The sequence below is a fragment of the Homo sapiens genome, chromosome 8 (genome assembly GCF_000001405.40).
Source record: "Homo sapiens chromosome 8, GRCh38.p14 Primary Assembly".
NCBI lineage: Eukaryota > Metazoa > Chordata > Mammalia > Primates > Hominidae > Homo > Homo sapiens.
The window spans coordinates 81,512,229-81,539,595 of record NC_000008.11 but is presented as its reverse complement, the minus strand read 5'-3'; the positions used below and the strand labels follow the sequence as shown (position 1 = coordinate 81,539,595).

The 27,367-nt window shown below is 39.2% G+C and overlaps 1 protein-coding gene, 1 long non-coding RNA gene and 1 pseudogene across 6 annotated transcripts in view; 2 read left to right on the top strand and 1 right to left on the bottom strand.

Moving 5' to 3' along the window:
- The window catches only part of FABP12 (fatty acid binding protein 12), a 65,159-nt gene extending 50,544 nt beyond the window's left edge, over window positions 1-14,615 (top strand). The window contains exons 1-5 of one of the 4 annotated variants that reach the window (XM_006716465.4): window positions 5,654-5,794; window positions 8,223-8,353; window positions 9,986-10,158; window positions 12,475-12,576; window positions 14,476-14,615. In XM_006716465.4, the coding sequence (XP_006716528.1) occupies window positions 8,281-8,353; window positions 9,986-10,158; window positions 12,475-12,576; window positions 14,476-14,550 (423 nt within the window). In that variant the 5' untranslated portion in view covers window positions 5,654-5,794; window positions 8,223-8,280 and the 3' untranslated portion in view covers window positions 14,551-14,615. Of the gene's footprint in view, window positions 1-5,653; window positions 5,795-8,205; window positions 8,354-9,985; window positions 10,221-12,474; window positions 12,577-14,475 lie in introns of those variants that run through there. The other 3 variants (NM_001105281.6, XM_011517577.3, NR_144370.1) reach the window with 3 other exon arrangements.
- Window positions 1-27,367, bottom strand: part of LOC101927118 (uncharacterized) — a 117,987-nt gene that overhangs the window by 39,849 nt on the left and 50,771 nt on the right. Inside the window, exons 1-3 of one of the 2 annotated variants that reach the window (XR_242492.3) lie at window positions 16,278-16,539; window positions 13,632-13,753; window positions 13,140-13,322 (exon numbers count right to left, since the gene is read on the bottom strand). This is a non-coding gene — a long non-coding RNA (uncharacterized LOC101927118). Of the gene's footprint in view, window positions 1-13,139; window positions 13,323-13,631; window positions 13,754-16,277; window positions 16,540-27,367 lie in introns of those variants that run through there. The other variant, XR_001745980.2, reaches the window with a different exon arrangement.
- On the top strand, window positions 17,169-18,076 carry FTH1P11 (ferritin heavy chain 1 pseudogene 11; annotated as a pseudogene).

The window sequence follows — 27,367 nt, the reverse complement described above, 5'->3', positions numbered from 1 at the left end:
GTTTACCAGCATCAACTAATTTATTTTATTGCCTAAATCTTAAGTTCTTCAGTATTCACGCAAAAGATGTTGTATGATTACAAAGATTCCAAAAGAAAATTGACGGGAGTGGGTGATGAAGGAGGGAGAGATTAGAAAAAAAAAAAAAAAAAAAAAAAAAAAGAACTAAAGAAGTAAGGAAAATGTTTTTCTTACATGAACTTCAGAAAAAATTTAATTTATATAATTTTATCATATAATTATTATAATTATTATTCAGCCTTTTATTCCATTATCATAATAACTTACTATTACTTATAAAAATTACCTTTATCCTTGGTGAATATGATGAAAAGTATTATCATTTTTAACTGACAAAAAACAATTCTGTGTAATAAAGACAATTGCAAATAAGTTTAAATGGCATTTTACATAATAAAATAAACTTTTTATTTAAAACATAAAGGTAGCCAGGCTTGGTGGCTCACATCTGTAATCTCAGCACATTGGGAGGCCGAGGTGGGCAGATAACTTGAGGTCAGAAGTTTGAGACCAGCCTGGCCAACATGGCATAATCCCATCTCTATCAAAAATACAAAAATTAGCTGGGTGTGGTGGTGCACGCCCGTAATCCCAGCTACTTGGGAGGTTGAGATATGAGAATCTCTTGAACCCAGGAGGTGGAGGTTGCAGTGAGCTGATATTGCACACTGCACTCCTGCCTGGGTGACAGAGTGAGACTCCATCTCAAAAACAATAAAAAAATTAAAAAGTAATAAAAATTAAAATAAAACATAAAGGTCCCTAAGATTCTTTAAAATGAGATTTTTCTCTGTATTACTTTCCTGGGGTTGCCACAACAAATTGCCACAAACTTAGAGGCTTAAAACAACAGAAATGTGTTCTCCTACAGATTTGGAGGCCAGAGATAGAAACTAAGGTGTTGGTAGCTTCTAGAAGGCTCTGGGGGAGAATCTTTTTCATGCCTCTCTTCTGGCTTCTGGTGGCTGCTGACAATCCATGGTGTCCCTAGGCTTATGGCAGCTCGTCAATTGCTATCTTCATGTGACCTTTTCTTTTGTCTCCATATGTCTTAAATCTCCCTCTCCTTTCTCTTATAAGAACATATGTTATTGAATTTAGAGTTTGCCTAAATCCAATACAGTCTCAACCTGAGATCCTTAATTAGTATCTGCAAAGATCCCATTTCTAAAGAAGGTCACATTTACAAGTGTACTGGGGATTAAGGCTTGAACGTATCTTTTGTGGTGGACACAGTTCAACCCACTACAGTTTCAGACATAGTTTGGGTGCTTACACCCTCCAAATCTCATACTGAGATGTAATAATCCCCAGTGTTGGAGGTGGGGCCTGGTGGGAGGTGTTTAGGTCGTGGGGGCAGATCCTCCATGAATGGCTTGGTGCTGCCCTCGTAATAATGAGTGAGTTCTTGCTCTGAGCTCACACAAGATCTGGTTGTTTAAAAGAGCATGGCACCTCCCGATCTCTGTCCCTTGCTCTAGCTCTTGCCATGTGATACACCAGCTCCCCATTTGCCTTCTGCCATGATTGTAAGCTTCCTGAGGCCCTCATCAGAAGCAGATGCTGGCACCATACTTCCAGTACAGTCTGCAGAACCATGAACCAATTAAACCACTTTTCTTTATAAGTTACCAGTCTCAGGTATTCCTTTATAGCAACACAAAAATGGTCAAACACAATTCCCAACACTATTAAAAAAAAGTTGAACTGTGTGAAGAATGTTGGCATGGAGCAGTGCCATGTTACTGCTTGCTTGGAAGACCACGTGCCTCATCCCAGCCATTCAGCTCAGCTTCCTGTCCACTGCCCACCTCCAGGTGTGCATTTGAGTAGCAGCACCAAGGCAGAAACACCCTGAGCCTCATGAATGGCCAAGTTTCCCGATGTTCTTAGCCAGAAAATACTAAGAGATGACCCAGTTTCGTTAATGCCCTTCCTACAAAGCCCACCCAATATAAGAAGAGACTCATGCAGATATTTAGGTCGCTAATTTTTGTTTGCCACAGCACTTAAATTTTTCTAGTGAACTTTCTCCATTTTCAATAAATTTTACTTTAAAAAGCCACTGTAAATTTTTTTCCTTACAGAATGGTTTTAATCCAAGTGCATTAGAACCGCATGGAAAACTTGAAGGCTTAATATTGCTAAGGTGATAAAAAAAAAAGTAGAAGAATTTTATAGCTACTGAGGGCTATTTCTGAAGAAACTTTATAATTTAACAGGCTCATTAACCATTCCAGTTTAGACTCAGGAAGAAGCAGATAGCAGGACAGCTTTTTAAACTAGGTTTCTTTCCTCAATTTCCTTACACAATTAATTTTTGATTCTCGTATCTTTCTGTCTTACAGCACTTAGAGTGATTTTAAAAATATTCCATATATTTGACTGATAACCATCTCATGTTACTTTTATAAATGCCGGAGTTTGGCTCCTTATATTAATTTTTCTGTTGGCATTATCCATGGCATAAATATAAAAATGTCTTTTGATGAAAAATCTTAAATGAAAAATGGTATCCACCATTCTTCTATCCCAAGAAAAGAAAGCCTATAGTAGTTGTTAAGTTATGATCCCCAGTTTTAAAAATTTATACTTGAGACTCTAAAACAGGGGTTGACAAATATTTTTTCTGTGAAGAGCCAGTAGTAAATATTTCAGGCTTTGCCAGTCATATGTTTGTTATAACTACTCAACCTCACTATTGCAGCACAAAAGCAACCATAGACAATATGTAAAGGAATAAGTGTGGTTGTGTTCTAATAAAACTTTATCTACACGTGGCAGCTGGATTTAGTATATGGGTCATAGTTTGCCAACCCCTGATCTAAAATATCAACTTATTCTCCAGCTGTGTATTATATTGCTAGATACCCACAGGGAAACATGAAGGAATTCAGTGTAGTTTCAGATTCTCTTTCACAGAGTTGGAAACATTTCGGATTTCTATTTCAATCCCCATTATATACTCAGTGGTGGGAAAGACCTATCCTAGGGATCTTTCCTTTAGTAGGCACTCAAGTGTTTATTGAATTAGTTGCAAATGAGTAAGGCCTGAGTTCTCCTTGCATGCCAATATCTACAGAGTGCCCACTATGTCTTGTCCAGCTCCAATACACTTCAAATTGCTTCGTTGAAATAACTCAAGTTTAATATGACAAAAGACTGGAAAATCTTGCCTGCTGGGGCTTTCCTCTCCTGCTTTGTAGGAAAGTTATGAGATCTGTACTTCTGTTATGAATAAATATAGTCACAATACTTTTCTATAGAAAGAAAAAGTGTGTGTGTGCATGTATATGTGTATATACATCAGAAGAGCAACAGATAATTATGTTCCGTATTTACTGGGCCATCAGGAATGCACTGGTGAGAGGGCCACAGCATCATTAAGAGTTTCAGTGGTTGCTCTTGTTGGGTTGTTAGAGTTCAGCTCATTGGTAGCAATGGGAATGAAGAGAATTTGATTCAATCTGGGCCAGATGGCAGCACATTACTGCCAGAAACCAGGGGATTGATTGCACTTCACCATAAAATAGGGCAAGGCTGAAGGCACAGCTAAGGGTGTTTGACCCGAAAGGGGTTATGGAGATGATTAAAATAACACTGAATCCATAGAGGCAAAATAGATGATTAGCCAACAAGGGTGCTGCTTCATACATACAATCAAAAGAAGGCAGGAATGGATGGGCAGCAGACTAAGGATGAGCGCCCCAGTAGAAAGTCATGATCTTTTGCTCAGATTCCAGATCTGAGCCAATTTTCAGACCCAGAATCCTTTGTCTCAATAGGTGACAAGCCCACAGAAGGAAGAACCCTGAGATACCATAAACTGTTAATGTCCCCCATTTTCCTCAAAGGAGATCTGTTATCGTTTACTTGAGAAAATATGCAATGAGGAAAGAGGAAAATCCAGATATTCTGACAGCCTCGGGTCTGAATTATTGTCGATTCACAGAGTGCCAAATCATCATGTTAGAGTGAAGACATACAGCAGCTAGGTAATAAATAGAATCCTGGCCAAAGTCTAGGTCTCAGTAGGTCCGGTAGGTCTGTGGATTCCTCCAGAAGTCATTTCCCTAGGCCTTGAATGCGTAATTGGGATTGACTCCTTGGCTGTTGGAGTAAGCTCCACCTTTCTCATTTTCTAATTCAAACAAGAATTATTATAGTGGGGAAGGCAAAATGGAAGCTTCTGAAACTGCACCCCCACACTCCCACCTTCTTCACTGCTATCCTCTCTCCATCCCTTGATAAGATGGTGAATAAAAAACATTGTATTCGGTGGCAGGGGAGGAGTGAGGAATGACAGAAATTGGGGCTACTCAAAAGGACTTTAAGACTGCAGAAGGTGGTGGTTCATATCATAGCACCATTTAATTCATGAGTCTGATCACTGCAAAATCCAAGTGAATCTTAGAATATTTCTAGCCTAGTGAAAAATCAACTAATAACCCCAATGATGGGCTACTGTGCTTGATGTGTTATCTTTGTTAGTGCAGATTAATACAGTGTCAGGTACATGGTGTTCAGTCAGACCACATTTCACATTCTTTCCTACCTCAATCAGGAAAGATCAGAAACCATTTGCATTTGCATGGAACAGACAATGACACATGTTTACATTTTTTTTTTAATTTTTTGAGTTGGAGTCTCACTCTGTTGCCCAGGCTGGAGTGCAGTGGTGTGATCTCGGCTCACTGCAACCTCCCAGGTTCAAGTGATTCTCCTGCCTCAGCCTCCCGAGAAGCTGGGATTACAGGTGCCCACCACCACACCCAGCTAATTTTTGTAATTTTTAGTAGAGACGGGGTTTTGCCATGTTGGCTAGGATGGTCTCAAACTCCTGACCCCAGGTGATCCTCCCACCTTGGGCTCTCAAAGTACTGGGATTACAGGCATGAGCCACCTGTTACATAGTCCTGTGGCTATGTTAACTCCTACTCTTTATCATAATATAATCAGATGAGATCTAGGCTGTCTGGACACTTGGCACAATATCATGTTATCAGGCAGGATGAACAAGAAGTGGCTAGTATAATGGAGGCCTTGGTAAGACACATTCAACACAGAATATGAGAGTTAAAGTTGGTAATGATTGAGGCAACTTCTAGTAAAGTTTTTAGGGGTCCAGCTTGACCAGGGACATATAAGGAAATCTTTTCCAAAAGACAAATTGCTACATTTTGCCTGTTCTATCAAAATTCTTGTGGGACTCTTTGGCTTATGGTGGCAACATATTGCACATTTAGGCATGTGCTGCAGCCCATATACTGGATGGCATGAAAGGCTCCCTGCTTTGAGTGGAGCCCAGAGCAGGAAAGGGTCTGCAGGAAGGAAGGGCTGTGATATGAGCTGCCCTGATGCTTGGGTCATGTGATTGGTAAACTCCACGGTGCTGGAGGTGTTAGTGAGAGGAAAATATGCAATATAATGTGTATGGTGTGTGTGTATGTGTGTGAGAGAGAGAGTGTGTGTATGTATGTGTGTGGGTGAGCATCATAGCACCAATGTCTGGGGTTGTGAAGAAAGATCATGCCATCTGTAACAGAGACTTATACACCTATTAAAACAGAGTGCCTAATGTGTTACTGGGGCCCCATAGAGACAGAATTCTTGACTATAGGATATCAAGTAACAATGTATCTGGAAGTGTCCATTATGAGCCAGGTTCCGTCAGACCCACAGAGTCATCAAGTCAGGTATGTCCAGCAGAAGTCCATCGTGAGATCAGATTGTGCATCTGGGGTCAAGCCTAAACAAGACCAGAAGTCCTAAGGTAACTGCATGAGCAGGTGGTGCAGATCCCCATGTCACCCACCACTGCAGCACCAGCACCCCTCCTTCAGATCATGCCCCAGACAGTATGTGGGTCCCACGTGACCAGCTAAAGGAGGAGAAAAAACCTGAGCATGTTTAATGTACCAGTCAGCACAGGGTGTGGAGGCAAGTTAAAAATGGGCAGTGGTTTCATGACACTTGGGATGTGGGGGGGACTTGAGGAACTGGTAAGGAAAATCATATCAATGGACAAAGCTCAGAGTCATGCACCTGTTCCCTATTTCATGTGGAGGACACAGTGGCTTGGAATGGGAACATATATATACTCATGGGTGGAAGCGAATCGTCTGAAAAGCTGGTCAGGGACCTGGAAGGAGGACTGAAAAATTGCAGACAAGAATGTTTGGTGGAGAGGAATGTGTGTGAACCTATAGGAGTGGGCAAAATATGTGAAGATTTTTGGCTCTTGTATTCATGAACACTAGAAAGCATCAATCACAGAAGAGGCACTGAACAACAGAGTAGACAAAATGACTAGGCCAGTTGACATTAGGCAGTCTCTGAGCTGATGTGACTGACACATGAACGGAGCAGCCACAGTGCAGAGATAGAAGCCATACATGGGCTCCGTCTCACACCTCAGTACTGACGCCTGTGCAAGTCTAACCTGTCAGCAACAGGGAAAAACACCGCTCCCAATACGACATCTTCAAGGAGGTGATCTTCAATCGTGATTTTCCTTGTGGGAGGGGATCCATGTGCATCCGACATATGTGGCAGCACATTCGACATTTTCTTGAAAAATCCTGGGAATTGTAGTGCCTTCAGTGCCCAGATTACCCTCAATGTTGGGTCATTTCCTGGCTTCAGCCTCATGCCTATTAAGTTGAATGAGCACAGTCGTACAAATTACTCAGGAAAACCAACCAATGAACTAAGGCTTTTTGTTTTGTTTTGTTTTGCTTTTTTGATACGGAGTCTTGCTCTGTTGCCCAGGCTGGAGTGCAGTGGAGTGCAGTGGCACGATCTTGGCTCACTGCAACCTCTGCTTCCTGGGTTCAAGTGATTCTTCTGCCTCAGCCTCCCGAGTAGCTGGGACTACAGGTGCGTTGCACCATGCCTGGCTAATTTTTGTATTTTTAGTAGAGACAGGGTTTCACCATATTGGCCCGGCTGATCTTGAACTCCTGACCTCATGATCTGCCCGCCTGGGCCTCCCAAAGTGCTGGGATTACAGGCAAGAACCACTGCACCTGGCCAAACTATAGTATCTTTACCAACCATATCTGGAACATTTAATCAGTAGTGTATGCAAAATTTTTGCCTCATATTAGGCATATAATGCTAATTGCTTTATAAATGTTAGTTGAATAATTATCAGTAAGACTATTGGCCTGGATATTAGAATTTGGAAATTTAACATTTTAATGGGAATTATAAAATGCCATGTCCCCATTCTTGTCTTAAAATAATTTTATAACTTCAGTATTTCTTAATAGCTTTGTGTCAACCTATGGACATCAAGCTCTGCCTAGAATTAACAATGATGTCCTCAGGGGCTGATGGAATGTATAAGGGCATGTTTGTCCTTTACTTAGCATTTGGAGTCCCCTCTTCTCTAGCTGATGGATTTGCTGTTATATTCCTTGACCCCTGTTCTGACTTACAGTTATTAGTGGACACTGAGATTTTACAGTCAGGGTTGAAAGGAACAGAAAGTAGCCTAAATTAAAGAGGACTTAAAAGATATTTGGTGTTCTCATGGCAATGATGGCTCTCTAAACCGTTGGGAAGTTGAGCTGGCACCTGGAAAAGTGTCAGTAACAGGGCTGTGTGTGTGTGTGTGTGTGTGTGTGCATGTGTTTGTAACATGATCTCTTTCCTTTCTTTTTTCTCTGTCCCATTCTCTTTTTCATTGTGCACATGACTTAAAGTGGTTGTTCTAGCCCTTACTAAACTTAACTTTTTACTTCAAATGTCAAGTACCATCTATGAAGTCTGTCTGGTGTTTAGTTGAAACTATCAAGAATGAGAATGATCTTCAAACAGCCAATAAATTGGCTTTTTCTGAATCATCTTTGGACAGACAGAGAGAGAGACCTGGGCACAAAAGTTCCACGGCATAAACACAGCTGTCCAGGCCCAGCTCTTACACACTGCTTTGTGCCTGGCAGGTCCTAGGGAAGGAAAGTAACATTTAGTTTTGATGCTAAATTGGTGTTGGAAAAGGTATATCTAGTTCTGCTAAACACTCTACTGTGTTTCCATTTTCATCCTGATGTATTTAAATTTAAGAAAGCTTTTCTGCTTTAGATGATACTCAAGGAACATTGCAAGGATTAGAGTTCCTTATTTTATTTCCTAACTTTTCTCATCTCATTCTCTACCCAAAATTGTATTAAAAACAAGTTCCCATACTACTTCAGGGAAAACCAGCATACACATGAAACTACTGTTCTTTGAGATCAACTTATCTCAGACAGAATGATTGACCAGCTCCAAGGAACATGGAAGTCCATTTCTTGTGAAAATTCCGAAGACTACATGAAGGAGCTGGGTGAGCTATGTTTACTTGCATATCATATCCAGTAAAAATGGGCATTTTGATAGCACAGAACTTGCTCTGTATAAAATAATATTAATCTTGAACTCCCTAATTTTTCACATAGGAAAAAATAAATATTGATTGAGTACCAGGATATAGTTCTGTGCAAAACTATGTTGGAGTTGACAATAATCTCTCATATAAGTTACCATTAATTTACATAAACTAACTAAACAGCAAGTGATTTTAATAAATGTTTTAAAACAAAAAAATACAACTATTTTTTAAAATGATTATTTTGTAAATGTTTGCTCTAAGCTTTAGGGGATCTTCAGAATAAAGTTCAGAGTAGATTTTGTTTTTCAGCCTCTGCTGGCTACTGGCTTTCCTTAGTGTGTGCCAGCAATGCTCCAAATTTTGCTCCCATTTTCACACTGCTCTCTCTTCTTCTGTAGTATAGCATCCCTCTTCCTCCCTCTTAAAAGGAAATTTATGATTATGTTTGAGATCTGCTCTGATAATCCAGGATACTCTCCCCATCTCAAGATCCTTAAATTAACCACATCTGTACAGTCTCCTAACATGTAAAGGTAACATTCACAGGTTCCAGGGATTAAGACGTGAATATCTTTAGGAACCATTATCCAATCTGTCACATCCTGTGATTGTGTTTTATGATATGAATTCCATGAACTACATTATAGTATTTTCCCAATATATCTTCCCTTAGAATTTTAACTTAGGTATTGCAGTATATGTAATGCTATTTCTACTGAAAATACTCCTACATGTGCTGCACAGAGCTGTGTATACAAGGATGTTCACTGCATAATTATTTGTAATAACCAAAATGGAAACAAATGAATTGTTCATCAACAGGGAGACAGACAAAATAAATTTTGGTCTATACACACTGTGGAATATTATGTACTATGAAAAAGTATATATCTATATAGAGTGACATGGAAAATTTTCAAGACATAGATAAGGGGAAAACTTCCAAGACAAGATAAGGGGAAAAAGCAAGTTGAAAAACAGTAGATATAACATATTTTTTAAAATCCTATAAATAATGGTGATGCTTGCACAACATTGTGATGTTCTCAATACCACTGAATTGTAACTTCAAATGGTAAATATATGTTATAAATATTTTACCACAATAAAAACATACATCATTGAGGAAACAAACCCATATATATATACATGTAAGAATACAAGTGAAGAGCTAAATATCTGGCAAAATCCATACCAAAGTATTTTGTTTGTATGTGAGTGGATATAATTTTAAAATAGGGAGATAGTTGATAGCTTTAATCAGATTTTCAAAGGGGTTCAAAAATCAGTAAGATTAATAGCTACTGGACTAGTGAAAAAGAATACTCACTAAACAACAACTAGAGACAGATTTTTTTTCTGCAAAGATAGTCTATTTTAACATGTCATGGTGGAGCTGCTGGCTTGGGATATGTGAAGTCATGCACCATTAAATCTGTTCAATTCGCAAACCTCCTAGTTAGCAAAGAATTATACAGATAATGTTGAGTTTTTGGAGTCAACAACAGATTTAAGTATTGTATTGTAATGTAATGTATTTGTAATTCTTTATGCAAAAAGATAATACTCCTTTTATCTGGTTTCCAGGTATAGGAAGAGCCAGCAGGAAACTGGGCCGTTTGGCAAAACCCACTGTGACCATCAGTACAGATGGAGATGTCATCACAATAAAAACCAAAAGCATCTTTAAAAATAATGAGATCTCCTTTAAGCTGGGAGAAGAGTTTGAGGAAATCACGCCAGGTGGCCACAAAACAAAGGTGAGGCCTACGACAGTCTTTCAGACACATTTCAAAAGAATGTTAGTCAGATATCATCCTCGGTAAGTAAGCAATTCTAGCAAACATATCTAAAGTCCTTAAGAGGAACTTTTGTCTAAAACATAGGTCTAAGGATGTCAATGTGAAGATACAAATCTTCTGGGATGCTTGTGAAAAATGCCTCCTGCTCACTGCCAGAGGCCCTGAAAATTGCATTTTTAATGAATCTGATGCAGACGCTTAGCAGACCACATTTTGAGAATCATTTCCCTAGATTACTGTTTAGTCCTCTCAGAAACAAAAGTTTTCCCTATCCATTTTGTAGCAGTTTTCTACACATAGAATTACAGTGAATAAACCTCGTATTAGCTGGCAGAGGTAAGGTTATGCCACCGTGACAATGAACCACAAGCCTGGAGTGAGTTAACACAATGGGGATTTATTTCTAACTTATAGTACATACGTAGTGTTGGGTGGCATTGGGGAAGTTTGTGTGTGTGTAGTGGAGTAAACAGGAAATCTGCTCCCCCTAATCTCTCAGGGATCCATGCCAAAAGAGGTTCAACTACCACCTGTGGACATCCTGGTCTTCTCCAACACCAGGATAAAGAGACATGGGCTTTTTATTGTCTCACCCTGAAAGTGCCACACAGAGTTTTCATTCATATCTCAAGGGCACATATCTCAGGAATATATTATTTATTTATAATATGTAATTTACTTCTACACGTATTGTTTACAGTCTTTTTCCCTACACCAGAATGTAAGAGCTCATCCAAAACAGGATTTCCTGTCTGTTTCACAGAACCCCGTGCTTGGTCATGACAGTTGTTCAATAAATATTTATTATTTGAATGAATGAACTCAATAGAGGATTGTTAAACTATATGGAGGATAATATCCTGATAAAAGGAACTATCATGCCACTGTAATAGTTACTAAATGAATATGAGAGTTTAAATTCTTGTACCATATAAAATGGAAGAAAATTTTTGACTTAAATGCTTAATATGGATTTCTATGCTAAATTCTTAAAAATCTACTAGAATAAAAAAGCTAGGTTGGGTGCGGTAGCTCATGCCTGTAATCCCAGCACTTTGGGAGGCCAAAACAGGAGGATTGCTTGATGCCAGGAGTCTACGACCAGCCTGAACAACATAGCAGGATCCCGCCTCTACAAAAAACACAAAGATTAGCCACTGTGGTGGTGCGTGCCTATAGTTCCAGCTACTCAGGAGGCTAAGGTGGGAGGATTGCTGGAGCACAGGAGGTTGAAGCTACAGTGAGCCATGATTGCACCACTGCATTCCAGCCTGGATGACACAGTGATACCCTATCTCCAAAAACAACAACAACAACAAAAAAAACTGGAAAATATTATTGGGATAAGAAGAGGAAAGAGGCCTTCTTTCTTTTAAGTAAGCTCATATAATGGGAGTTTGAATTAGTTTCACATGTATTATTATTATTATTATTCTTTATTGAGACAGGGTCTCTGTTGCCCAGGCTGGAGTGCGGTGGTACAATCTTGGCTCATTGTAGCCTCAACCACCCAGGCTCAGGTGATTCTCCCACCTCAACTTCCCAAGTAGCTGGGACTATAGGCATGTGCCACAACACCTGGCTAATTTATTATTTTTTATGGAGATGGGGGTCTCACTGTGCTGTCCAGGCTGGAGTTTCACACTTATTTTGAAAGTTAAAATGTATTTGTAATTCTTTATGCAAAAAGATAATACTCTGCTTACACAGTCAAAGATAAAAAGAACATTTCATGGCCGGGTGTGGTGGCTCATGCCTGTAATCCCAGTGCTTTGGGAGGCCAATGTGGGCAGATCACAAGGTCAGGAGATTCAAGACCATCCTGGCCAACATGGTGAAACCCCGTCTTTACTAAAAATACAAAAATTAGCTGGGCGTGGTGGTATGTGCCTGTAATCCCAGCTATTTGGGAGGCTGAGGCAGGAGAATTGCTTGAACCAGAGAGTCGGAGGTTGCAGTGAGCCAAGATCGCACCATTGCACTCCAGCCTGGGTGACAAGAGCAAAACTCTGTCTCAAAAAAAAAGAAAAAGAAAGAACATTTTACTTATTCTTCAAGATAATATTACAGTTTTACTCTTGTAAAACCTTTTTTCTTCAGCAGAATTAGGCAACAATTTTACTGCTGACAAAGTCTTAAAATAAATAGAGTTGTCAATACCATTCTAAAACTACCTGAGAGTATTACAACAGCTAAAAAGAATTTGCTGCCTGATAAAATTTTAATGTTGAAATATGACAAGCTGATCTGAATTTAGTTTTTTCTGTTTTTCAGAGTAAAGTAACCTTAGATAAGGAGTCCCTGATTCAAGTTCAGGACTGGGATGGCAAAGAAACCACCATAACGAGAAAGCTGGTGGATGGGAAAATGGTGGTGGTGAGTTAGCCCATCCTCGCTTTCTTCCCACCTTCTGCAACGACTAATATAAAATCACAACTTGTTCTCAAACAATGAAAATGAATGCCATTTTCCTTGTTCTCATAGTTTAAAGAATGAGAAAAAAATTATGAGATAAATGTATAATCGTAAGCATTATATAAAATGTGTGTGGATTGAGGAACTAAAAAACTAAAGAGAATGAAAATATCATGCAGCCTAATCCTTTGACTCACAGGTAAAACAAAGCAAGCATGTATTTGTGCAATGAAGATTTTAGCAGGGGTTGAGGGTTGTTGCCAATCCTCTACTCCACTCCAGGATTAACTTCTCACTGTTTTTCCATCTCAACACCAAACAAAAACATGAAAAGGAATTCTAGACCAGGGATAAGAAGCTGAAGTGGTGTTTTTTTGGTGTATGAATGAGTTAATACATGTCACTATCATGCCCCTATGTTTTCATATATTAATATTATTTCCCAATTTCCACAATAATCCTGTAAGGTAAAGCTTATTATCCCATTTAACAGTGAGGAAACTGAAATTCAGACATTGACTTACCTAAGGATATGCAGCTAGAAAAATGTGATGGTACTGGGAGGAGCATCAGGTTGTTTTCATTGAACACTCTATATTTTATAGAATCCATCCTGCTCCCTTTCAGATGGTTTCCCAGGTCACCTTCCCCACTTCTCCAGAGTAGAAGAATGTGTGTTCATGATTTTCCTTCTCCCAAACCCCCACCTATACCAAAATGAGTAAAAAGGTAACTTTCTACATAATATAAAATAGTTCTAAGGGAATATGCAAGATTCGTGTGTAGGTTACAAAAATCTAACCTTGTTTCTTAATACAGTGATTTTTTTTCTTTCTACAATGAAGAGTACATTTTATTCCTTATAAATTCACAAGGGGAAGACTAAGGATGATTGATTTTATTGCTGTTTATAATGACATTAGCCAATAAACAGAAAGCTTTTATAGTTCATTAGGAAGAATGCTACACTCAGAATCAAAGGATGTGGATTTCCACCCCTGCCATTCAGTACTTACGTGACTTTGGACAATTCATTTAATCTCTTCAAGATTCAGATTCCTTGCCTTCAAGATGTAGAAAGTGTCTTTGCCAAAGGTTTTCTGAGAGAATTAAGTATCATCATGTGTATATTAGTGCCCTGAAAACCATAAAATACTACATCAATGTAAGCTAGTATTATCATTTAGAAAGTGTAGAGTATGTAAAATAGCAAAATGCATCAATGTTGGCATTTAAAATATTTAAATAAAAACTTAAATTCCAAATTGTATGCCTTGCTTTATACATATATAAACATTATATATACCCGAAATATACCACATGTATGTGATTCGCCATACATAGGTTATATAGAACATGGCAAAACCAGCTAACAGATAGGTCCTATCTATAGTCTATATAGATCTATCTATCTATCTATCTATCATCTATCTATCTATCTATCTATCTATTTTTTTTTTTTTTTGAGACGGAGTCTTACTCTGTCATCCAGGCTGGAGTGCAGTGGTGTGATCTTGGCTCACTGCAACATCCACCTCCCAGGTTCAAGTGATTCTCCTGCCTCAGCCTTCTGAGTAGCTGGGACTATAGGCGCATGCCATCATCCCCGGCTAATTTTTGTATTTTTAGTAGAGACGGGGTTTCACCGTGTTGGCCAGGCTGGTCTTGAACTCCTGACCTCAGGTGATGTGCCCACCTTGGCCTTCCAAAGTGCTGGGATTACAGGTGTGAGCCACCGCGCCCGGCCTCTCTTTCAATATTTTTAAGGAATGTATGTGTGGATAGTACTTAGTTTGCACTTTTCTAAATGTTAATTTCACTAACTATACTGAAATACCTCATATTTCTTTTGTCTTGTAGGAAAGTACTGTGAACAGTGTTATCTGTACACGAACATACGAGAAAGTATCATCAAACTCAGTCTCAAACTCTTAAGGCTTTCTCAAGCTGTCATCCAAACTACTGAGGTTGTTTAAATAAAACTCCAAAGTAAAATATTACGACTATTAATATGAGAGAGCCTTTCTTTGCACAAGCATCAATAATTTTGCTTGCCAAATTGCACATGCCTGTATCATGTAGTACTTTGGCATTCGCGGCCATGAGAATCCAGGATGATATATCCTGTTCAATGCAAGGCTGGGATATTTTCAGAGAGGCACTTCATGTTGATTTTTTTCTTATGATGCATTTTATGTCCACCCTCTAAATTCAACATAATCTGCACTTTATTGGGAAAATAATATTTTTTAATAAATAGAATACAGCGCACCTTGCAGGTACACCTCAGTTATATATGAAAAGATAAGAAACCATGTCTAGAACTAAGGCAGTAATTGACATCCTAATGTAATACTAAACTGTTATGACAGAGAACTCCATATCCACTACCAACATCACTGAAAGCCACTGCAAAGAATATTCTGTTTTATTAGCACAAAACCTCATGCACTCTCAGGCTTAGGAGGGATTTTAGAAACTGTGTGGACTGAACACTTTATTTTGTGGTTGGGGGAACAGGCCCGAGACAGTTAATTGTACACTTTACTATCACTCAGATGGTTTCAGGAAGAATTAGAACCAGAATCCATGTTGCCCAGTTATTAACCTTACAACCATAACAAAGTGAACTTAGATTGGAACAGTTAGGTAGAAAGAGGTTTATGGTGTACAATTATGAACCAAGTGTAATACTACATTATACTAATGAATAAACAAGCTTCCATTTGTCTTAAAATGTGTAGCAGGATGCCACAGCTGAGTCCAGATGAGGATATAGAGTTTTACCGTTTGAACCTGAGGCCTGTCATTGCCTATTTGTCTGAATTGATATATGGGGGATCTCAGTCGTCTGGTAGATGTGGAAGAAGTGCTTGTTTATTTTTTGGTGTACTGAAATGACGAAGAGGACAATGGAAGGCACACAAAGATATCTGTACCCTCAGCTACTTGGACTGGACAGAGAGAGGATTCGAGGCAGACGCTGAAAGAGCAGTTTTCCTGAGGCCCTGTGCATGGCTGTGGATGTGAGCAGCTCTACTGCAGGCCCAAGTAACAGCTTGCTGCAAAGACAGAGGAGAAGCAGTCCCCCTATTGGAAAGGAGCCCAGCACTGCTCTGACACCTCCACAGTCAGTAGCTATGGGAACTTTGAAAAACGGTGCTCCTGGCTTTGGCATTAGGGTGTCTTGCCTACTGTGGTCATGAAGATACTCTCATAGGCAATAAGAACCAATGCAGGAAGCCTTGTGCTGAAGGGATAGTTAGCAGATACCAGGAGAACCCAGGAAAGACATCCCTGATGACTCTCAGGAACACCTGGGGGCCAGGGGCTGGGAGAAGGATGGACTTTCAAGGGCTAGAGTTTTTCATGAACAGGAGCATGACATTGGATGTAGGTGTTAATATGATTTCATTTGTCAACAATCTGATAAAATCTAGGGATGTTTGAGTACTCAACTGAAAAAACAACCCACAAAAATACAACAACAGCAACTGCACATTTCCAGGAGAGATGAGCAGCATGCCTCCTGTCTTCTCATTTCCTTTATGCAGTTGAGAATCATTAAAGTAGAAAATCATTTACTGTGGTTGATCGAAGTGCATATCTCTCAGGGATGGTTGGGAAACTGATCTAAATAAACCAAATCAAACAAGACATACCACAGCTCCTGAGTGATGTTGTAATTCAGGATTTGCTGCACATCTGCTGTGCACCAGACACTGCATGAGAGCCGGGGATAGAAGGAGAATGAAGTCATGCTTGCTGATCTTGATCAACTCCATAGAGAAGTGATATATTGGAAAGACATCACATGGGTGTACTAATCTCCAGGAATGTATAAGCAACAGATTATAAAACAAATGTTTCTTTTCTTTTTTCTTTCTTTTTTTTTAGATGGAATCTCGCTCTGTTGTCCAGGTTGGAGTGCAGTGGTGCAATCTTGTCTCACTGCAACCTCTGCCTCCCAGGTTCAAGCGATTCTCCTGCTTCAGCCTCCCTAGTAGCTGGGATTACAGGTACACACCACTATGCCCAGCTATTTTTGTATTTTTAGTAGAGACAGGATTTCGCCATGTTGGCCAGGCTGGTCTGGAACTCCTGACCTCAACTGATCCATCCACCTCGGCCTCCCAAAGTGCTGGGATTATAGGTGTGAGCCACACGCCCCGCCATAATACAAATGTTTCTACTTGGAAAGAAAGATTTAAAACCACTTTCTTGGTGAATAATTGCCTTGCCCAGGATGGAAGACAACTAGCAATAGGGCGGCAGACATATCAGCATGAATGGACTCCTATCACTCCTTTTCATGACATCTCTCTTTCTGGGCCACAGCCTCAGTGCAGTTTGCATTAATTCAGCTCAAGTCAGTAATCATCAGTCAAGATATTTAAGGAATATGGAGTTATTCCTAGTGAGGCATAACCTGTTCTTTTTAAGCTGGGAAAAGTCTGGGGTTTTAAACAAAACCATATTATTTGATTCAGACGTAGCCAAAATATTGCTAGAACAGAAATTTAAAAAACACCAACTAAAGAAAGAGAAGGCGGAGACGGTCTTCGCCGAGAGTCGTCGGGGTTTCCTGCTTCAACAGTGCTTGGACGGAACCCAGCGCTCTTCCCCTAGCCCGGCCGGCCGCCCATAGCCAGCCGTCCGTCACCTCTTCACCGCCCCCTCAGACCGCCCCAAGGTCCCCCCGCCGCCGCTCCAGCGCCGCCGCTGCAGCCGCCTCTCTTTAGTCGCCGCCATGGCGACCCCGTCCACCTCGCAGGAGCGCCAGGACTACAACCAGGACTCAGAGGCCGCCATCAACCGCCACATCAACCTGGAGCTCTGCGCCTCCTACTTTTACCTGTCCATGTCTTATACTTTGACCGCGATGATGTGGCTTTGAAGAACTTTGCCAAATACTTTCTTTACCAATCTCATGAGGAGAGGGAACATGCTGAGAAACTGATGAAGCTGCAGAACCAACGAGGTGGCCGAATCTTCCTTCAGGATATCAAGAAACCAGACTGTGATGACTGGGAGAGCGGGCTGAATGCGATGGAGTGTGCATTATATTTGGAAAAAAATGTGAATCAGTCACTACTGGAACTGTACAAACTGGCCACTGACAAAAATGACCCCCATTTGTGTGACTTCATTGAGACACATTACCTGAATGAGCAGGTGAAAGCCATCAAAGAATTGAGTGACCACGTGACCAACTTGCGCAAGATGGGAGCGCCCGAATCTGGCTCGGCAGAATATCTCTTCGACAAGCACACCCTGGGAGACAGTGATAATGAAAGCTAAGTCTCAGGCTAATTTCCCCATAGCCGTGGGGTGCCTTCCTTGGTCACCAAGGCAGTGCGTGCACGTTAGGGTTTCCTTTACCTTTTCTATAAGTTGTACCAAAACATCCACTTAAGTTCTTTGATTTGTACCATTCCTTCAAATAAAGAAATTTGGTACCAAAATAATTAATAAATAAAAAATTAAAAAAAAGAAAGAGGAGGCGTTTAGGTTTATTTAACAGTAGAATTAATGTTGAATATTTCCTGTCTATAAGTTTGGGAAAATCATGTTTTATTTGAATAAGTCAATTGACAACCTGAGATGGAAAATGAAATAATAACAATGATAACAGCTGTTATTGAGTCTTGCTAAGTGTCAGGCACTATGTTTAAACTTTCTATGCATAACTTCATTTTCTCTTTGAGATTAAACTGAGACTCAGATAGGCTAAATGGTTTCCTTAAAGTTCCTCAGCTAATCAATACCAAGGCCAGACTTCAAAATAGGTCTTAATTTCTGGAGAAGCATGCCAGAATGCATCTCCAGAAATCAAGAAAATAATTATTAGAGTTTCTTTTAGAGTCTTTTTATGTAATAATGAATATGATAAATAAATGCATTATTAAAACTACTAACCTGAACTTGTAAAGCCTGAGAAATCCACCCTACATGAACTCTTATGCCCTGAACTGATCAGAAAGATTACTTTTTGGAGCTGTAGATTTAAGAAGCAGAAAACAGCTGGGTGCAGTGGCTCATGCCTGTAATCCCAGCACTTTGGGAGGCCGAGGTGGGCAGATCATTGGAGGTCAGGAGTTTGACACTAGCCTGACCAACATGGTGAAATTCCATGTCTGCTGAAAATACAAAAATTAGCCAGGCATGGTGGCACATGCCTGTAATCCCAAGTACTTGGGAGGCTGAGGCAGGAGAATTGCTTGAACCTGGGAGGCGGAGGATACAGTGAGCCGAAATTGCACCATTGCACTCCAGCCTGGGTGACAACAGCAAAACTCTGTCTCACATGAAAAAAAAAAAAAAAAAGAAGAAGAAGAAGAAACAGAAGCAGAAAACAACCAAATGTTGATTAATTGTGTTGTGGTGGCACCTCTCACCATGGTATCCCATCTACACAACAGTTACCACAGAGCTCTTTAAGGACACTCATGCTCCTCTCACTTATTTCTCATACTTTAGTGAAGGAAGTATCTTCTGGGCCTAGCATATGATAGACTATTCCCAAATTCTAATTTCCTTAAGATTTTGGATTCCTTCTCTATGTCAGACCAAGGAAATTCTAGAATCTCAGTCTCATTAAATATCAGTCTGCTGTTGAGCCCAAGTTTCAACTAACCAAGTCAATTAACCAAGTAAATTGTTAGGGATAAATTGTTAGAATAAATTGCTAGCTGCACAAGCTAACAATTAAATGAAGAGTCTCTGGTAAATGAAGTCATATGAATAAAGTTGGACTAATGAAGTGTTGTAGTTTGTTCTCCTTGGTTTAATATCCTTAGAATCCACTCCAATATGTATTACCCAGATCTCTGTCAATATAAACGAACATCTTTAAATTCTTTTAGAGTATAACGTTTCCTCCAGGGTCAGACCTTACCCTTGTCCTCCTAGAACATGGGGAGATCTTATCTAATTTTGGTTGTAGTGGCAACCATGTATGGTTGCAGTGAGTCCTAGGGAGAAAGGCACCTTCTTGCAAGGCAACTGCTCCAGATAAGGCCATCAAGCAAAAAGAGTTAGTCTTTTCAGACACTGAAAGGCAGTTTGCTTCTACTGTCAAGAGAGGCTCAGAGTGATTCTAGAGCTCCAAATTTTCAGCTGTGATCACCCAGATGTCCCCATTCCAAGTGTCATTATTTCACTCTTTCCCAATGACTGCCCTAGTTTTCAAGTGAGAAACTTAGTGAAGACGTGAATTCAACTTACATTGTAACTCTACCCCACACAACTAAATTTTGCACCTCATTGTCAGCAAAGTCAGCTCTGCCATTATAAAAATATTAATTTTAGGTCCTTGCACATGCTTTCTAGTTCTCTGAACATGACTTAAACTGAGAGTATAATGATATGAGTTTGTCATTTTCTTTGGATAAGAACTCCACAGCATTCAAAAGAAGTCATTCCATTCCATTCTTGCCTTCATGGACAAGTGCTACAGCCATCAGGATACACACTTCATCACAATCAATACACATAATAATTAATCTAACTGTGATGCCATTACCACTTCATTTTCTATTAGCAAGGAGCTCAAACCTACTTTGAAGAGCAAGGATGCAACCAACTTAAACCACAAATCTCATCTGCTATGGTTTGAAAGTTTGTACCCACTAACACTCATGTTAAAACTTAATCCCCAATGTGGCAGTATTGAGAGGTGGGACATTTAAGAGGAGATTAGGTCATGAGGGTTCTGCCCTCAAGAATACATTAGTCCATTCATGGATCAATGAATTAATGAGTCAGTGAATTATGGTGGCTTTGTAAGAAGAGTATGAGAGACCTGAGTTAGCATGCTCAGTCCCCTCACAATATGATGCCCTGCACTGCCTCAGAACTCTGCAGAGAGTACCCACCAGCAAGAAGGCTCTTGCCATATGTGATCCCATAATCCTGGACTTCCCAGCCTCCATAACTGTAAGAACCACAGAAGACCCTGAATAGCCAAAGCAATCTTGAGCAAAAAGAAAAGGACAAAGCTAGAGTCATCACACTATTTGACTTCAAAATATGCTGCAAGGTTATAGTAACTCAAAAACAGACACATAAACCAATGGAACAGAATGGAGAACCCAGAAATAAATCCATGTATTTATAGCCAATTGACTTTTGATAATGGCATCAAGAATATTCAGTGGGAAAAGGATAGTATTTTCAATAAATGGTGCTGAGAAAACTATATATCCATATATAGAAATAAAAAAACCAGACCCTTTTCTTTCACCAAATACAAAAATCAAATCAAAATGGATTAAAGCCTTAAATGTAAGACCTGACACTATACAACTACTAGAAGAAAGTATTGGAGAAATGAATTGGCCTGGGCAAAATTTTTTGGGTAAGACCGTAAAAGCACAGGCAACAAATACAAAATTGGACAAATGAAATCACATCAAGCCAAAAAGCTGCTGCATAACAAAGGAAGCAATCAACAGAGTGAAGAGACAATGTACAGAATAGGAGAAAATATTTGCAAACTGTTCATCCATCAAGGGATTAATAAACAACATATCTATGGAATTCAAACAGCTCAACAGCAAAAAAGCAAATAAACTGATTAAAAATGGGCAAACAATCTGAATAGACATCTCTCAAAAGAAGACATCCAAATGGGAAACAGGCACATGCAAAAATACTCTGCATCACTAGTTATTATGGAATGCAAATCAAAACCACAAAGAGATAACATTTTACCCCAGTTAAAATGTATGTTATCAAAAAGACAAAAAAATAACAGGTGCTGGTGAAGATGTAGAGAAAGGGGAATGCTAATGCACTGCTGGTGGGAATGGAAATTAGTACAGCAACAGTGAAAAATAATATGGACTTTCCTAAAAATTAGATCTAAAAATAGATCTACTATATATTTCAGCAATCTCACTGCTGGTATATATTCAATAAAAAAGAAGTCAGTATATCAAAAAGATATCTGGATGCCCATGTTTATTGCAGCACTATTCAAAATAGTCAAGATATGGAATCAGCCTAAGTGTCCATCAATGGATGAATGGATAAAGAAAATGTGGTGTAGATGCACATTGGAATACTATTCAGCCACATAAAAAAATAAAATCTGGTCATTTGCAGCAACATGGATGGAACTGGAGGTCATTATGTAATGACCTGTGCCTGGAAATAAGCCAGGCACAGAAAGACAAATATCACATGTTCTCAAATGTGGGAGATAAAAACGTTTATCTCATGGAGGTGGAGAGTAGAACAATAGTTACTAGAGGCCGAGAAGCGGGTGGGGGTGATGAAGAGAGGTTGGTCAATGGGTATAAAAATACAGTTAGACAGAAGAAATAACTTCTAGTGTTTGATAGCACAGTAGAGTGACAATAGTTAACAATCATTTATTGTATATTTCAAAATAGCTGGAAAAGAAGATTTTGAATGTTCTCAACACAAAGACATGGTAAGTATTTGAGGTGACAGATATCCTAAATACCTTGATTTGATCATTGCACATTATATATATGCATGGATCAAAATATCACATGTACCCCATAAATACGTACAGTTATGTATCAATTAAAAAAAAACTGAAAACAAAAATTCCTTTTCCTTATAAATTACCCAGTTTCAGGTGTTTTGTTATAAGCAACAGAGAATGCACTCAGACATTATCTTTAAAAACTTACTCCTAGTACTAATTTCTTTATCGCTCTGGGTTCAGTCAGGACTTAGAAACCATACTGGTTATATTATGTAATAATAGGGAGAATTTAATATGAAGATTTGTTAACAGGTATAAAAAGCTTAAATGGCATAAAAAGAACATTAAGATTTCACACAAGTAGCAACTTCAGAAAGCAGGTAACACTTAAGAATGTGTGTGTGTGTGTGTGTGTGTGGAGACGGGGTCTCTCTATATTGCCCAGGCTGTTCTTGATCACCTGGCTTTCAAATGATCTTCCCACCTCAGCCTCCCAAAGTGCTGGGATTACAGACACAAGCCACTGCGACCAGTAAGAGCTGAAATTTAGGCCTCAGAGGAGGCACTGCTCCTATGGGGCCCCATCGGGTTGGGTCTGAGATGTATGAGAAGAGGGAGAAGGTTCCAGATGGTTTGTGCTGGTTTCTCTGAGGCAGTGCCATGAGGTTGGCTCAGAGACAATAAAAAATTGTGAACTGAAATTAATTGCAGCAACTGTAACCTACTGCTGCTGGCAGCCTAAAGAAAGATTGTTGAGGTCATGCTGATGGGAGCAGAAAATATGACACTTGAGTAAAGCTATGAAGGCAGAGAGAAAATGAGCCTGGCATATAACTCAGGGGAGGGCATTCTAGGCAGAGGGAAGAGACTGTATAAAGGCCCTAAGGTAGGAGCATGCTGTGATTGAAGACAAGAAAGATATTAAGTGTGGCAGGAGTAGACAGAGCAAGGGAGAGAGTAGCATGAGATGAATGCAGAGAGATAATAGTAGAGACAGATTATGGTGTGCCTCAAAGGCCATTGCAAGAACTTTGGCTTTTACTCTGAGAAAAATGGGAGCCACTGGAAAGTATTTAGGGGACGAGCGACATAATCTGATGTACAGTTTAAGGGAATCATGGCTGTTGGGTTCAAAAACTCAGAAGTAAGTCAATTAGGAAGTCTTAACAGTATTCTAGGCATGTGCTGATGGTGCCTTGCAGTGGGGATGACAGTGGAGAGAATGAGAAGTAGTAAGACTTTCTAAGTTAGAGCTACAGAATGTATTGATGGATTGGATTTGAAAGCAGGAGAGAGTTAAGAGTGATTTAAAAGTTTTTGGTCTTAGATCCTAGAAAGCTGCATGTCATTAAAGGGCATTATATCTAAACTATGCCAAAACGATTGCCTGATTTTATAAGTACACTGAAAAACTAAACAACATGAGACAGAACCTATTGAACTCATCTTTAAAAAGTGGCTAAGTTGCTAACCTGTTTGCCTAGAAAACATTAGAGACGTCCCTTTCTAGCCAAGATGGAGTAAAAGGGGCCAGATTTATCCTTCCACCTGAAACAACAAAAAATGGACAAATTATATGAAAATTGTTTTCAAGACAAAGGATATCACCCAAAAAGAACAGTGATTCCAGAGAGAAGAAAAATGAATGAAATCAGCTCATTGCCCCAGCCTCTTAGTATACCTTTAGGAGTACCAGCACCAGCTCAGCCACCTGCTCTCTGCTCTGAAGTCTGAGTCCCAGCTTTATAGGACCCCTCCTCCAAGCTTTTGCATTCTAAAACTCCGTCCCTTTCTTTTGCTCCTGCAGCCATATGGGTAGTAGTTGAGTCCTGCTATTACTCCGTGTTACCTCTGTGTTATTTTTTTAGTTCTCCAATACCAGCTTCAACACTTCCTTGTTTTAAAATCTCTGATGTGTGATTTTTACTTTTCTGACTGGTATAAAATGCTTATGATGTGTCAAACGATGTACTAAGTCACTTACGCCATCTTAAAAATTTTTAGTAAAACACAATTTGGTAGATAAAAACCATGCTTATTTCATAATTAAGAAATTTATGTCTCAGAGAAGTTAAATAATGATGCTTATAGTACTTCCAGGATTGCAGTCTATTTCACTGTAAAGGCTTCATCTCACTGTAAGCGCTCCCTATCACTAAAGAACACTGTAGCTGGACAAAGGGCTTTGGAAAAAAAAAAGTGAGGCTTTTGACATTACTTCTAGGATTATGGCTAAAGCCAGGATTATTTCTATTTGTTTTAAAAATTTCATTTGAATGACTTTGTAACTAGAAAGCAACTCTTCCATATAAAATATATGAAGAATATATATTTTCTTCCATATAAAACTCTTTCCATATAAAATATAAGACACAAAAATGCATTCCAAAGCTAAGAACTGGTAGCAATCTCCTCCATGATTGGATGATCTACTCTATTTTGGTAACTTCCTAATCATTTACCTCTGGTAGATATTGAAGGCTGGGGAAGGGATAAAAGATAAGCTGGCCTCAAGAATTCTGTAAATATTATTCCAATGCCTACAATGAAGTATTACGAATCCTTTTTTGCTTGATTTTTGGTAGTGGTAGTTTGGTGACCTTTGAACACCAAGAACAAGTTTATCAAACGTGGAACACAGAAGTTCTTACATGCAAGGTATTAGATCTAATACTTGGCAACTTTTGTCTATTCTCTTGAGTGCAATCTAAAAAGTGTTTCAAAATAATAAAGTCCTAGAAGGCCACTACTTGGAAACATTTGGGTAACTTAGAACAGTTCAAGTCTGCATCATTTTGAGTCTAGATTCTAGCTACTTTCTTCCCTTGTGATACTGCTCTTTGTTTTGTTTTTGCTGTTGTTTTTTCTCCTAGACAGTTACTGACCTAAGATTCCCAAATCCTATACAAATATAGAAATGTACAGAGTTGGCATATTGTGGCATTGAGGGTTATAGACATACCCCGTTTCAATTCTCTATTCCAGCACCTGCTTCCTTTCCCACTACTCCAGGACTGACAGGGGGAAAAAGCTCTGTTCTTCACCACCTCCTCACATTAGAACCTCAAAGACATTTTCTTAAAGAACAATGTTGTAAAAATGGAAGATATGCATTACTGAAATAAGCTTGTATTAATGCTACACTGCATGCATAGATGAGCTAAAGAAGAATGTTGGGACTGGATTCTAACCGTGATACAGTCACAAGCATTCAATTTACCCTCATCCCCTAAGTGGCTAGAATACTAAACAAGATATATGAAGAAGCTATTTTCAGATACTGGAGAACAGGAGATGCAGGAGGATCATGATGCCTTAGGAAAGTGTAACATTGGAGGTGAACTTCTACCATCCTCCCAGCTTTCTGCCTTGGGGCTTATCCCCAGTGGCCATGCAGGGAGCAGGGTTACAGGAAGAGCGCAGTGGCCTCCCTGAGGTGAGGAGAGATATTGAAAGGAAGAGATTCTGGAAAGGAAGATAAAATCTGTGGGATAAAGACCTCTAGAAATAAGTATGGAGAGTCTTCTTTATTCTTGGCGAAATCCCTAGCTGTGCATGCATAGAGTAAAACTTCAATGAAGCCATGGAAAGAATGACCAGAGGGCTGTCAACTGAACAATTCCTGGGGCTTATACAGGGCAGAGAGTTGTTGAATCTGTGGCCAGAGTGGAGATGGTCAGTACTCAACTGGGGCATTCAGAAGAGACCTCAGAAAGGTATTGTCTTGGTACTAGGGCTGAACTACCCTTGAGTAAAGGCTACACTAGACCCACCTTAGCTTAAAAACAAGCATTGGAAAGAGAAGCTTATCTGCAAGTAACTTAGTTTCCTGTCAGCACAAAGACCAATGCTATTTAAAGGAAGACAACAAAATTCAGACATTCAATAATATTACAGTCACAATGTCCAGGCATCCAGTCAAAAATTATTATACAGGACAAGAAGCAGGAAAATGAAATCTATAATCAGAAATAAAATCTCTTAATAGAAACAGACCCAGAAATGACAGAGATGATGGAATTAGCAGACACAAATTAAAACATATAAATATGCTCAAATGCTCAGGGATTTGATGAATTTGAGCATAATGAAAAGATAAATGAAAGATAAAAGTCCTAGAAATAAAAAAATACTATAACTGAAATGAACATTTGCTGGATAGGATTAAGAACAGATTAGAAACTAGAGAAGAAAAGATTAGTGAACTTGAAAATGCAGCAATAGAATCTATCCAGGCTGAAGCACAGACAGAAATGAAGACTGAGAAATCCTTTGGCTAAAAAGAGCTCCCTTGCCCAAGTTTAAATACATTCCCAGAGGGAGGGGCAGCCATGACACAATGGCTGTCTGATATGAGGGTATAATCATTCCAGGATGTGGGCACAGCTGTTAGCCTTGTGAAACCTGCACTCCTGGCAGCTGGGCTTATGTGTGCCTCATCTTGGACATGGGATAAAGGAGTACAAGGCAGCATCCACTACATTGTTTTTGTTTGTTTGTTTTTGCTTTTTTGAGAAATCTTGGAATTGACTATGGAGTGTTACAAATAAACTCTGATTTATGCAAATCTCTTCTATGAAAACTCATTTAAAAAGAAAAATCATAATAGTCTTTTTTGTTTTTGATACAAAGGGCTTCCTTTAAATCCTTACTGAATTTTTTTAAAAGTTTGTAAAACGAATTTACAGACAACATAAATTATTTAAAAACAAAGCTGCTTTTCTTGACAAGCTCTAAGAGGATAGGGATTTTTGGTTGTTGCTTTCATTTATGCTTTGTTGTTGTCCCAACAGTGTCTGGCATACCTAGAAATGCTAAGTATTAATAAATACTGAATGAATAAATCAGTGAATCAATTAGGCTCTGTTAAACATGAAATAGTATTTTCTATTGTTTTCCTCAAGGTGGTGCTGTGTAGTACAGTTTAAGGGTCACCTTTAAAACTTTTTTTTCCTAGTATAGCTTCGATATTTTCTTTTATTATGTAATTTTTAAATCTTCCCATCTCTCTGATTTTCCAATTTTTTAGATTTATGTTATTTGTGGGCAGAGGCTTACTAGATTGTCAGAGGCATTGGTTTTCTTGCCTTTTCCTCCCCTTGTTTATCTCTACCTAGTTGTACAAGCAGACTTGCCTTTGAACACTTCCTGAAAGATATTACATCTACTGCTTTATTTCTACCTACTCTCTCTATCATTTATTATAGAAAGATTTATCTAAAGGCTTTCATACATTTAATGTTCAAGTTTTCATTTCTCTGTCTCTTCTTTGTTCTAGATGTCTGTTGTCCA